This window comes from Homo sapiens, chromosome 11 (genome assembly GCF_000001405.40).
Source record: "Homo sapiens chromosome 11, GRCh38.p14 Primary Assembly".
Lineage (NCBI taxonomy): Eukaryota > Metazoa > Chordata > Mammalia > Primates > Hominidae > Homo > Homo sapiens.
This window is the reverse complement of record NC_000011.10, coordinates 86,388,569-86,401,382: the sequence shown is the minus strand read 5'-3', so window position 1 is coordinate 86,401,382 and position 12,814 is coordinate 86,388,569. Positions and strand designations below refer to the sequence as shown.

At 40.4% G+C, this 12,814-nt stretch overlaps 1 protein-coding gene and 1 long non-coding RNA gene across 3 annotated transcripts in view; one reads left to right on the top strand and one right to left on the bottom strand.

Annotated features, from left to right (window-relative positions):
* The window catches only part of CCDC81 (coiled-coil domain containing 81), a 48,220-nt gene that overhangs the window by 21,724 nt on the left and 13,682 nt on the right, over positions 1-12,814 (bottom strand). The window contains exons 4-7 of one of the 2 annotated variants that reach the window (NM_001156474.2): positions 8,586-8,842; positions 5,970-6,049; positions 3,641-3,762; positions 582-705 (exon numbers count right to left, since the gene is read on the bottom strand). In NM_001156474.2, coding sequence (NP_001149946.1) covers positions 582-705; positions 3,641-3,762; positions 5,970-6,049; positions 8,586-8,842 — 583 coding nt within the window. The remainder of the gene's footprint in view (positions 1-581; positions 706-3,640; positions 3,763-5,969; positions 6,050-8,585; positions 8,843-12,814) is intronic. The other variant, NM_021827.5, reaches the window with a different exon arrangement.
* The window catches only part of LOC105369421 (uncharacterized), a 60,137-nt gene continuing 52,605 nt past the window's right edge, over positions 5,283-12,814 (top strand). Inside the window, exon 1 of the long non-coding RNA XR_007062826.1 lies at positions 5,283-5,363. This is a non-coding gene — a long non-coding RNA (uncharacterized LOC105369421). The remainder of the gene's footprint in view (positions 5,364-12,814) is intronic.

The window sequence follows — 12,814 nt, the reverse complement described above, 5'->3', positions numbered from 1 at the left end:
AACAATGAATGAGCATGGTTGAGTATGGTTGACTGATTTGAGGTCTTAAAAAGTATCCTACTCAGAGAGAAGGATAAAATATTTTAGAAATCTTTTGACATACCATCACAAGAAGAAAACGACCATGATAAATTGTAATACACTCATTCATTCAAGTAATGTTTATTGAGAACTAATGGAGTGCTGGCTATGTTTGGCAAAACTACTTTCCAATTTGATGTAAATATAACATTGTGTCACATCATAATATCCAAGCACTCGGAAAACATGAAAGTTTTGTAGATTTGGGAAGCCCAAATCTACAGAAAAAGTTGGATGATCCCAACTCTGTGCTATTTTGTTTCCGCCTGTGTCATAACATCTATTCCACTGAATCGTAATTTATCCCTCTGCATATGTCTGGCTTTCCCACTAGATGGTGAACCTTGGTCACCTTTATTATTCCCATCATGTTGCATATAGAAAGCTCTAAAGAACACTGGATAAATGAATTAATGAACAATTACAGTTCCCCGCATCAAGCAACGACTCAAAAATATATTTAGTAAAGTACAACAGAAAAAAAAAAGTCAATGCATTACCTTTCAGGGGTCATAATCTTCCCACCACTCTCACTTCGTTCAAACTTTTCCAGCAAGCTGACATTTGTCACTTTGGCAGGGAACAAAGCTTGTCTATCTCGAAGTCTTTTGGGTGATGAGATATCTGTAGAATAAAGAATGAATGAAAACGAGTCTCCTTTCAACTCTCAAACCACTAACTGTGTAGTTTTTACCAAGGGAAATTTTCATATAAGATACACTCTCTTATCTTTAAATAATCACCCCTTGTTCTATTGTGGTATAAAAAAATGTTTTTGCTGTATATTCGCAAAGAAAGCACTGTGCTAAGCATTTAGAGGACAAAAAGAGGCAATAACATAAATGCAGGAAGTGGGCTGGATATAACATGACCAGGAGACGTGTTAGTTTAGTTAACATTTCTCATGAAAAATGAACAGTGGTAGTTTTACAACTTTGATATCTGTAGATTTAGACATTTTGCCTGTAAAGATCTTTCGATAGATATAGTTGAAGAGAAAAATAAGATACAAACAAAAAAGTGAGAGCTCCCATTTGGAGGTCATCTTATGTGCTAACAGTGCTAAGTGCTTTATAATATACATTTAATAAATAACAACTTAGGACAGTGATGCAAAATGTATAAGTCACAAATAAATGTTGCAGTCTTTTTCTTTTTTTTTTTTTTTTTTGAGATGGAGTCTGACTCTGTCGCCCAGGCTGGAGTGCAGTAACCCAATCTCAGCTCATTGCAACTTCTGCCTCCCAGGTTCTAGCAATTCTCCCACCTCAGCCTCCCAAGTAGCTGGAATAACAGGTGCACACCACTACTCCCAGCTAACTTTTTTTTTTTTGTAGTAGTAGTAGAGATGGGGTTTCGCCATGTCGGCCAGGCTGGCTTCGAACTCCTGACCTCAGGTGATCCACCCACCTCAGCCTCCCAAAGTGCTGGGATTACAGGCGTGAGCCACCATGCCCAGCCAAATGTTGTAGTCTTTAAGGATCTGATATGTTCAGAGGAGAGAAGCCACTTCAGAATTCAGTGATAAGTTTTCATGGAGAAAGTGAGATGTGAAAAGGGTACTAAAAGGTGAGTAGGATGGAGATAGATTGAAAGAAAAGGAAGGACAATTCAGGCTGCAGGAAAAAAAAAATGAACAAAAGGATGAAGTTGGGGAAGGGCAGGCATGTTAGAAGAGCATGAATAGGCCAAGCATAGTGGCTCACGCCTGTAATCCCAACACTTTGGGAGGCCGAGGTGGGCAGATCGTTTGAGCTCAGGAGTTCAAAACCAGCCTAGGCGACATGGCAAAACCCTGTTTCTACAAAAAGTACAAAAATTAGCCAGGCATGGTGGCGCACACCTGTGGTCCTAGCTACTCAGGAGGCTGAGGTGGGAGGATCACCTGAGCCCAAGAGGTTGAGGCTGCAGTGAGCCAAGACAGTGCACTCCACCCTGGGTGACAGAGCAAGACCCCACCTCAAAGAAAAAGAAGAACATGAATAGATAATTTTTCCCAAAAAAGGGGTCTCTATAGGGCACAGTGGGAGATGAGACTAGAGAAATAAAAGCATATGAATATTAGGCTAAAAGTTGATATGCAATCCTGTAGGCCACACGTAGAAAACAGACATGCACAAGCCAATGTTCACCCATTGGTATGTTTTGTTTGGCCTAATTAGCATTTTTTGTTTCAATATCAACAAAAGTCGTCAACTTTTAACAGCCAATAGATTTTACATTAAAGTCAGGATCTCTGCTTCTTTTGAAAAATCAGAAGATTGTGCTCACTTTAGTAGCACATATAGTAAAATTAGAAAAATTAGAAGATCTGATATCACTTGGGCCACATTTCCGCAAAGCAACAATCTGCTAGAGGAACAGTCCTCAAAGTGTGGCCTGGCAAGCCATACTTTTTGGGGTCCCTAGGACCCTTTCAAAATGTCTGTGGCTGCGTGTGGTGGCTCCCACCTGTAATTGTAGCACTCTGGGAGGCCAAGGCAGGCGGATCACCTGAAGTCAGGAGTTTGAGACCAGCCTGGCCAATACGGTGAAACCCCATCTCTACTAAAAATACAAAAATTAGCTGGGCGTGGTGGTGCGCGCCTGTAGTCCCAGCTACTTCCAGGGAGGCTGATGCAGGAGAATAGCTTGGACGCAGGAGAATCACCTGAACCCAGGAGGCGGAGGTTGCAGTGAGCCCAGATTGTGCCACTGAACTCCAGCCTGAGTGACAGAGCGAGACTCCATCTCAAAAAGAAAATAAAAAGTCTTTGGTTAAAAAAAAAAAAAATCTTTGGAGTCCTAGGATTTTCTTCATTTGCTTCCACCAAAACAACCTATCACAACAGATTAGATGCAGACATAGGTATGAGAATCCAGCTTTCTTCTACAGACATCAAAGTGATAAAACTGCCACTCTTTGTTTTTCATTAGAAATGTTAACTAAGCTAACATGTCTCCAACCCACTTACATCCAGACCACTTCCTGCATTTGCGTTACCTGCCTGCAGTCATCTGAGTTTTGGCCCCTTTGAGCAATGGGGAGCCAGCAAAGAGATGATGATCTAAGAGCCTGAGAGTCATAGGATCTAAGGCTCATAAAGTAAGTAAGCTCATAATTAAGGTCAAATGCAGGATTCTAGGAATAGAACGTATTTGTTAGAAATAATATAGTGATTATTTGTGGCTGGGTGCGGTGGTTCATGCCTGTAATCCCAGCACTTTGGATGGCCTAGGTGGGCGGATCACTTCAGGCCAGGAGTTTGAGACCAGCCTGGCCCATCTATACAAAAGATAAAGAAATTAACCAGGCATGGTGGCACATGATGGTAATCTCAGCTGCTCGGGAGGCTGAGGCAGGAGAGTCGCTTGAACCTGGGAGGTGGAAGTTGCAGTGAGCTGAGATTATGCCACTGCACTACAGCCTGGGCAACAGCGAGACTCCATCTCAAAAAAAAAAGTAATAATAATATAGTGATTATTTGTAAATTTAACTTTATTTACCTTGGGCTAAGCAATATGGCTGGGCTCATAGCAGTAAAGAGTGACAGATTGGACCCAGAAATCATTGGCCTACCTCTGGTGCCTTCTTCTTTGTCTGACTGGTCTTTTAACTTGCACTTCCTTTCTCTATTCTCTCCACATTCTTCTACAAGGGTCTCCATAGGCAGTTTGTTTTCCATCTCCTTGAGCTCAATCCTAGGAATGAGCCAATATGTTTTTCTGCTGCACTGAACCTGAACAGGTAACTGTGTGAACTCTCAAGTTTTGGAAGCAACCCAGCCAGCTGGCTGATTCTGAAATAAGCCCACTTTCTTCAAGGGGTGAGTGCTCTGATGTGCTAAGTACATATCATAGATTAATTTTCTCCAAGGCTTTCTGGAAGCTGACCAAGGCCTTTCCCTCTATACCATAGTCTCAAAGCAGCTTGCATATAGAGAAATTGCCTTAAAGTCCTTTATTTAGGTTATTGGTTTTTGTTTCAATTTGAATTTTTATATCCTACTTCTTTAACTAGATGCTATGGGGTGATACAGTGGAAAAAAGGTTGTTGGATAGCTTGAAGGCAAAGATTCATAGCCTGGTAGAGTATGCCCCAAAATAACCATTTGTCTCCTCCCTCCTTTGCCACTTCACTTCATCATTCTCTCCCCAGGCAAAAGTGAAGGACTTGCAAAGCTACAATTTGCAGCAGGGAGGAAGGGGGATGTTCAGTTGGTGTGTGTAGTTGTAGGATTTCTTTGGCCTCAGGTATGGAGTACTAGGTTGGAGTAGGGAGTGGGGGTGGGGGTACCTTCAGTCAATTCAGGGGCCAAATGTCACATAAATAAAACACCAACAATTGTTTTGAGTATTTAAGTCCCCATGTCCATTTCTAGGCCCTTGACTTGATGGCGACTCCATCTCTGTTCTTTGACCCACTATAATTATTTCCCTCCTGGAGTGCCTAAGCCAAAATATGTCAAAGGGAACAGCCATGTTTGCCTTCCGAAACCATCAAAATAAAATTCTTTTCAATCCACTGATTTATTTTTAGTGAGTAAGGCAATATGGTGCAATGGAAAGAACACTGGACCAGGAGCCATGGTTTTATTTCTATAAGCTTGGCTGCTTATTAGTTGCATGGCCATTTCGTGTGCAAGATGAGGCGGTTGGAAAACAACCTCTAAGGCTTACTCTGGACTTCACACTGAATCTTCTGAGGTATGTGTCATACAGCTCTTCCAGGAGGGGGTTGTTCCAAAGCAACAAACAAGAGAATGTCACACTCAAAACATCTCAGAAATTCTCATACTTTTATACTTTACTCATACTTCCTAAAGTAATAATGCTTTAGGAAGCTAGTTGTTATTCCCCAAACTTCCTCCACCTGAAATGCACAGTGGTTAATGGCACAGCAATTAAGATTATTAACATAATTAAGGGCACACAATGAATAAGTGATGGCCAAACTGGAAATAAAACTAAAGTCTCCTGACTCCTACTCCAGTGTTCTCAATAGTGCACCATGTTGCTTCATTCATGTAAAAGAAAAAAATTAAAATTAATTTTGTATCATGATAAAATGGAGAATTATAATACATAAGTCACATGGTTGTCGTGAAGATTAAATACAGTAATATGCAACCACCAGTAACAACCACTGTGCTCATGGAGTAAAGCTGTTTCCTTATTCTAACTTATCTGTTTAACCCGTTTAGTGGTAAAAATCCGAGCAAGGACAGGAAATGGGCTGAACTGAAGGAAGAAGCAGCAGCTAGGGCAGAAGAAGTGGTACAAAGTAGTGGAAAGTTCAGCAGGTGAGAAGAGTTTTACTAATACTGCAGGGACTAAGGTTAATGGAAGGTAGTATCAGAATTTCCAGGAGCCAAGGGTAGTTTTAAAAAAGAGTAAATGGGCCAGGCCTGGTGGCTCACGCCTGTAATTTCAGCACTTTGGGAGGCCGAGGCGGATGGATCACTTGAGACCAGGAGTTCGAGACCAGCCTGGCCTATATGGTGAAACCTCATCTCTACTAAAAGTACAAAAATTAGCCAGGCATGGTGGCGTGCGCCTGTAATCTCAGCTACTCCAAAGGCTGAGGCAGGAGAGAATTGCTTGAACCCAGGAGACCGAGGTTGCAGTGAGCAGAGATCGTGCCACTGCACTCCAGCCTGGGTGACAGAGCAAGACTCCGTCGCGGTGAGGGGGGATAAAAAAGAATAAATGTCCATTGTTATTTAACTTAACTACAGAAAGTGTATGCAATAAACTCTTCTTTGTTGGTGGATTTAGAGAGGGAGAGACAGACAGAATACATTAAAAGGAACATGAGCTACAAAACATTGAGAAACACTGCCCAATGAGATCAGCAGATCAGCAAGGAGTGCTAGTGCCTAGAGGAACCCGTGAAGCAAAGCACTCACCTTGGAAACGCAAGCACACTGCTGGGCCACTTCCTCAAGGCCTCTCTGCTAGACAACACCGAGTCCACAGTGCCAGGCCTCTAGAGGACAGCAACAGAGCAAGGTTACATCTAGGCTGAGGTCCAGGACTCAGACAAATTAAAAACTGCAGGCTCATAGGCAAGGCTACCACGATACTTTTCTTGTTGTTGTTTATGTTAAGCGCTTATAAGTCCAGAGCTTAAAAATCCAATGAGGAATGATCTCATTCATCAGAGCAATCACCCTGGGTAGCTGCACAGCAATTCTTTCGGTGTTGCCTTTTCTCAAACCATTTCCTTTTAGGGAATTGCCTTCAGAGTTGACAGATTCTTTTAGATGTCTTTAAGAAGATAGCAGACTTTGTAAAAATATCTGGAAAGTGAGCAAGCTGTCTAATTCCACTCTTGACCCAAATAACTAAAATTAGGCAATTAAGAGAAAAGCTTTCGAGTCAGGTGGGCTCATGTTCAAATCCCCACACTGCTAACAGGCATGTGGCCTTAGGCACTAGGTTTCTGGGGATAATAAAAGGATCTAATAGCACTTCCATGAGGTCCTCTATGTAAGTAGCTAGCACATAGTAAATACTGAACAAATGACTATTTTAATTCTCATGTAACTGTAAACATAATAGTCACATTGTCACATTTTAACTGTAGAATAATATATAAAATTATTATTTTTGCATGAATGCTATCACTTACAAAAGCCTTTGAAGTGAATTCCCAAAAAGAAGTATAGAAAATATTTCTAATAAAAGCAGCATTACTGAAATAAGCACACAGCTTTCCAAGGGGACTACCCTACAAGACAGTTTTAAGTTACGGGTCATTTGGGAATAAACTCTCACTCACACCACTTCACAGCAGTTTTCCAAAATGTGTCTTACAGAGCTAATGAGATATTGGATTAACCTACAATTCCATGATTAAATACATTCAGGCAGTTAAACTGACTGCTTTCCAGCCAGACTTCTCAGCTCCTTTAACATGCTGATGTGCTCTGTCCCTCTGTCCATGAGGGTGACTGATTCGATCAGCAGTTTTCAGTCAGCTTTGACCTCCAAACCCTTTTTTCATAGAGTATTTTTCAGGACTAGTTCTTTTGGAAAACGTTCTGTAAAAGATGTGCTTTACAGTTCAGCAGGTCAAGGAAAATGCTGTCTTCTCTTTTAAACACGTATTGAAGCTACAAAGTTCAGCAGAATCCCTGAGGGTTAGAGATGAGCTAGCCACTTTGGCCTTGCTTATGGACTTGCAAATCTTGCCTTGTGTTTTCATGGAAAAGCAAGGGTTTTTCCTGCATGTGTTTCCCACTTTCCACACACAGGGTTGGCAATCCTCTTAGCAATCCTGTATGAAACCAGATTGTGTAGAAAACACCAGGAGTTTCATTATGCACAACTTCATTTCCTAAATCCCCATCCCAAAGCTTCATAAAAGGAGAAATGGGTAGACTGAGATGATATTAATAGCCTTTTCATTAAAAAAATCAGAGTTTGGCTTTATGGGATATAGGATTATATAACATTCCATAATAATTCAATTCATTCATGTCTACTTTGTTAGTTTCCAGAGGAGTACCTGAGGCACACTAAGTATTCAGTAAGTCTGGTAGATTGACTATTTCATTTGTTTAAACTCTGCTGTATCCAACTTAGCATGAAGGTCACACCAGCTACTTAATGGTTGACAATAATGATGCCAATTAGGAAATTTCTTCTACAACATGGCAAATTAAAAGCTAAAGATTCAAAAACTCCATGACTCAAATTAGATTTTGTTATAGAACTTTCATTAAAATAAAATAGTAGAACCAACATTAAAAAATAAAATAGTAGAACCAGCAAAAACCAAGTGGTTAGGAAGTCTGGGCTTGAATTCCAGTTCTAGTTCACCTTGGGATTCCCACATAGCCTCTCTGAGCCCCTACTTTTCTCAATTGTAAAATTAGGATGATAATAATGCTGCTTGTATGCTATTTTGAGGCTCAAATGAAATAATACATGTGGAAGAAGTTTTTAAACCATACGCCAGGCATGGAGGCTCATGCCTGTAATCTCAGCACTTTGGGAGGTCAAGGCAGGCAGATCACTTGAGACCAGGAGTTCGAGACCAGCCTGGCCAACATGGTGAAACTTTGTCTCTACTAAAAATACAAAAATTAGCTGGGCATGGTGGCGCGCACCTGTAATTCCAGGTACTTGAGAGGCTGAGGCAGGAGAATCACTCAAACCCGGCATGTGGAGGTTGCAGTGAGCCAACATCGTGCCACTGCACTCCAGCCTGGGTGACGGAGTGAGACTCTGTCTCAAAAAACAAACAAAAAACCTATAAGGTACTATAAAATGTTCAGAATTCTAAGAGTTTCCGTTACTATTTATATCCCTCAATTGACTTTGATTCTTAATGTTCCTTTGCCTTCCTGATCTTTTTTGTCAAAGAGTTAATCAAGTATAAACAAGCACTTCCATGTACTTCAGGTAACTGTCACTCAAAATATGTCAACCTTCGTTTTTCTTAATTACAACACACCTATAGATGAGTCAGAACCACAATTAGGAGAAGACTTAGGAGAAGGAAAATATTAATTTACATTTGCTAGGGCCTTTGCCAAAGCCCCACTTCCATCCATGGTACAAAGGAAGTCTTTATAAAACCTCATCTTCACTTTGCTGTCTCTGATCATGAGGACCCCAATTCCTTTGAATGTAAACTCCACATTTTGTTTCATGGAAATGGAACGCGATAAAAAAAGCAACGTCTCCTTCACACATCCTTCCACTACATCTCTGTTAAATGGACCCTCCAGGGATATCATGACAAAATTAAGTGGAACAATTGGGATTTCACCTAAAGGAGAAAAGACAGTTGGGGTGGGAGAAAGAAAGTGGTGATTACCATAAGGACATATCATACACACTCACAAATAATTATCTGATTCTCAATGCCCTAAAATAGAATCTTCTGGATGAAGCTTTTAGTTGTACCCAATGTAATATTATTACTGCAGACAATTAAGTAGTTACTAACATATTAATCAGTACAATTTTCTCTAAAAGTATAAGGTTCAATGCTCAAAATAAGAACAGTTAGCTTTCTAAATAACACTGTAGACAAGCTTTTGATTTTCTCTAGGAAACATATAATAATCAACTGATTCTCTTCCTCAGAGGGTTTCCTAAAGTTTTCATCCCCCTTATCTTTTAGGACATACTGCAGCAATATTTGCTGATATGGTTTGGATCTGTGTCCCCACCCAAATCTCATGTTGAATTGTATTCCCCAGTGTTGGAGGTGGGGCCTATTGGGAGGTGATTGGATCATGGGGGTGGATCCTTCATGTATGGTTTAACACCATCCCCCTGGGTGCTGTCCTCATGATAATGAGTGAGCTATCATGAAATCTGGTTGTTTAAAAGTGTGTAGCACCTCCCTCCATCCTCCCTCTTACTCCTGCTCCAGCCTTGTAAGACATGACTGCTTCCCCTGCACCTTCTGCCATGATTGTAAGTTTCCTGAGGCCTCCCCAGCCATACTTCTGTACAGCCTGTGGAAACGTGGGTCAGTTAAACCTCTTTTCTTTATAAATTACCCAGTCTCAGGTATTTCTTTATAGCAATGCAAGAATGAACTGATACATTTGCCTATCTCCTCCAGTTATCATGCCATTTTTACATGATTACAAATACCTACAAGTGTTAAATATTTTGAAAAGATACCCATCTTCACTAGAAGTTATCATTTAAATGAAATAGGGTCTTATACAAGGGTATCAGACTAAATGACTCACAGAAAGCTTTTCCTCTCTAATGAGCCCATATATGACACTACAAAGGAATACGATTATATCTAGCTTGAAAGAAGCACAGGGTCTATCCAACTAGAACAGATGTAGGAGCAATACAAGGTTCACGAGTCAGAAAAAGGGTAAATAGCAAAGAGGATCAAGATGACAAAGCCAAAGAGAGACAACAACAAGGTCCACTGATAAAGAGGACATAGAGAAGATGAGAATATTCTAAACATTCACTCAGTAAGCATGAGTTATATCCTTTCAAATGTCCACCACTGCTAAATGATGAAAATTAACAAGACCTGAGCTTCACTGCATCAGCCTGCTGTCTCCTGCACAATTTAACAATAATTCTAACCACCACCCTCCATTTTTAAAAAAAATACACATTTCTTAAAAAGAAGGCTGTCTTGCCTGCCTCTGGATTTTCTCCTCCCATTTGCCCACTGCCTCTCTGCAATCTGTCTTTCAGATCACTTATCTGAGTTAGGACACTATCATCTCATAGATTGTCAAGTCAATGGATAGTTTGACTCCTTGGCCCCCTTTGCTGGCTTCCCTCCTCTTCTACTTCTTATAAGATACTGAGGTTTGTTTATTTGTTTTATAGGATTTTGTCCTTGTTTATCTCTTCTGCTGAGTATATATTCTCTCCTAGGTAAACATCCAAATCTTGATCTCTAGTCTCCACTCTTCTCCTAAGCTCTGGTATCACCTCTACCTAAATATCCCCACATGTATCTCAAATTCAGCATGTGCAAAAGCAAATTCACTATTTTATCCACCACCGAAATCCACCTTTCCCCTTCATTCTCTATAAAGGTAATTGATAGCATGAGCATCCATCTGTTCTCCAACCAAGAAATCTGAGTCATACTAAACGCCTTCCTTCCTCTTCCTACCCACCACTCTCAACTTAAGCCCTAACAATTCTACATCTGAAATGTCTCATGAGTAATATCTCATGAGTAGATACCCTCATTTCCCCTCCTGATCACTGTCTTCGTTCAGGCTTTTACTGCATTTTACCAAACTACTGTAACTGAAAGAGTATCTTTCTAAATTAATCCTATCTGTACAGATAATTCCCTGCTCAAAAACTTTCAATGGCTCCTCAGTGCCTACAGGATGAATTCTAAAGTCCGATCACACCATATAAGGCCCCTCACAATTGGTCCCTACCTACCATTTTCATCTTATCTTCCTCTGCCTGCCTCCACAATCATATGCCTCAGCCATACGGAAGTACCCGTTACTTCCTTAACAGGCTTCATTCCATGTTCTTGACTTGTTCATATTGTTCCTGAAATATCTTCCAACAGATTCTCTGCTCACAGAGTCCTATCATCCTTTAAGACCTCTTCACATGTCATCTTCGTAAAGCAGAGTTAGGCATGCTGTCCTCCGGGCGTCATAGCATTTGATCCAGTTCTGATCAATTTGGCTTTCATAGCACTTAATCATGTTTCATCATATTTTTTTTCTTTTTTTCTTGAGATGGAGTCTCACTCTGTCGCCAGGCTGGAGTGCAGTGGCGCAATCTCAGCCCATTGCAACCTCCGCCTCTGGGGTTCAAGCAAGTCTCCTGCCTTAGCCTCCTGAGTAGCTGGAACTACAGGCATGCACCACCACGCCCAGCTAGTTTTTTGTATTTTTAGTAGAGATGGGGTTTCACCATGTTGGCCAGGATGGTCTCAATCTCTTGACCTTGTGATCCGCCTGCCTCAGCCTCCGAAAGTGCTGGGATTACAGGCATGAGCCATCGTACCCAACCCATTTCTTATATATTAATTATCTATGCTAGATTTAAAAGAACTATGTCTTACTAATATTTAAAAACCACTATAAAATGTTTGATTAGTTACTGATATGGTCTGGATTTGTGTCCCTGCCCAAATCTCATGTCTAATTGGAGGAGGGGCCTGGTGGGAGGTGATTGGGTCATGGGAGTGAATTTCCCCCTTGCTGTTCTCATAATAGTGAGTGAGTTCTCATGAGATCTCATGGTTTAAAAGTGTGTGGTGCCTCCCCATTTCATGCTTGCTCTCTCCTGCTCCGCCATGGTAAGATGTGCTTGCTTCCCCTTTGCCTTCTGCCATGATTGTAAGTTTCCTGAGGCCTCTTAGCCATGCTTCCTGTTAAGCCTGCAGAACTATGAGTCAATTAAGCCTCTTTTCTTCATAAATTACCCAGTCTTAGCTAGTTATTTATAACAGTGTGAGAACAGACTAATACAGTTACCTAGTTAATTAATGATGAAGAATCATAACCCCAAAGCTAAACTGTAGACAGAAATTTTTCTTTGGGGGTTTTAAATTTTTATTTATTTCCTTATTTATCTTATTATTATTATTATTATTTTGCAGCCTTCAACTCCTGGGCTGAAGTGATCCTCTTGCCTCAGCCTCCCAAGTAGTTGGGACTGGTGGTGTGAACCATCATGCCCGTCTAAGTTTTTTAAATAATTTTTTGTAGAGGCAGGAGCTTGCTATGTTGCCAAGGCTGGTCTTGAACTTCTGGCCTCAAGTGATCCTCCCTCCTTAGCCTCCAAAATTCTGGGATTGCAAGCATGTGCCACCATTGCATGTGCCACCATGCCCGGCCTAGAATTATTCTTTTGAACTAATTCAGTCATATATGTCTAATTCTGAAATTGCCTCACCCAGTAAAAAATATAATTTTAGATCTAAACTACTTTTTTGGACTACAGTACAAGATCCAAGATAGAAAATGAGCTTTAATTTTAATGCACAGATGTTTTTGCAAAAATGTTAGCTTTATTTTCATTTTCTTTAATAGGTTTTTGATGAAATAGGATATATTTCTTCTGACATAAAACTCTAGGTATTTCTTTTTGTTCCCATGAAAGGGAGAAACAAAGAAAAGAAAAAAAAATTCTAGGTAAAAATAGCTGAAAAGTTCATCAAGCCCACCATACTGAATATATACCTAAGAAATTCTAAGTATGGTTTGTTGACATTTGTTTTTCTAATATATCATTCTTTTGAAAGTAGAAAGTTACTCAAGTG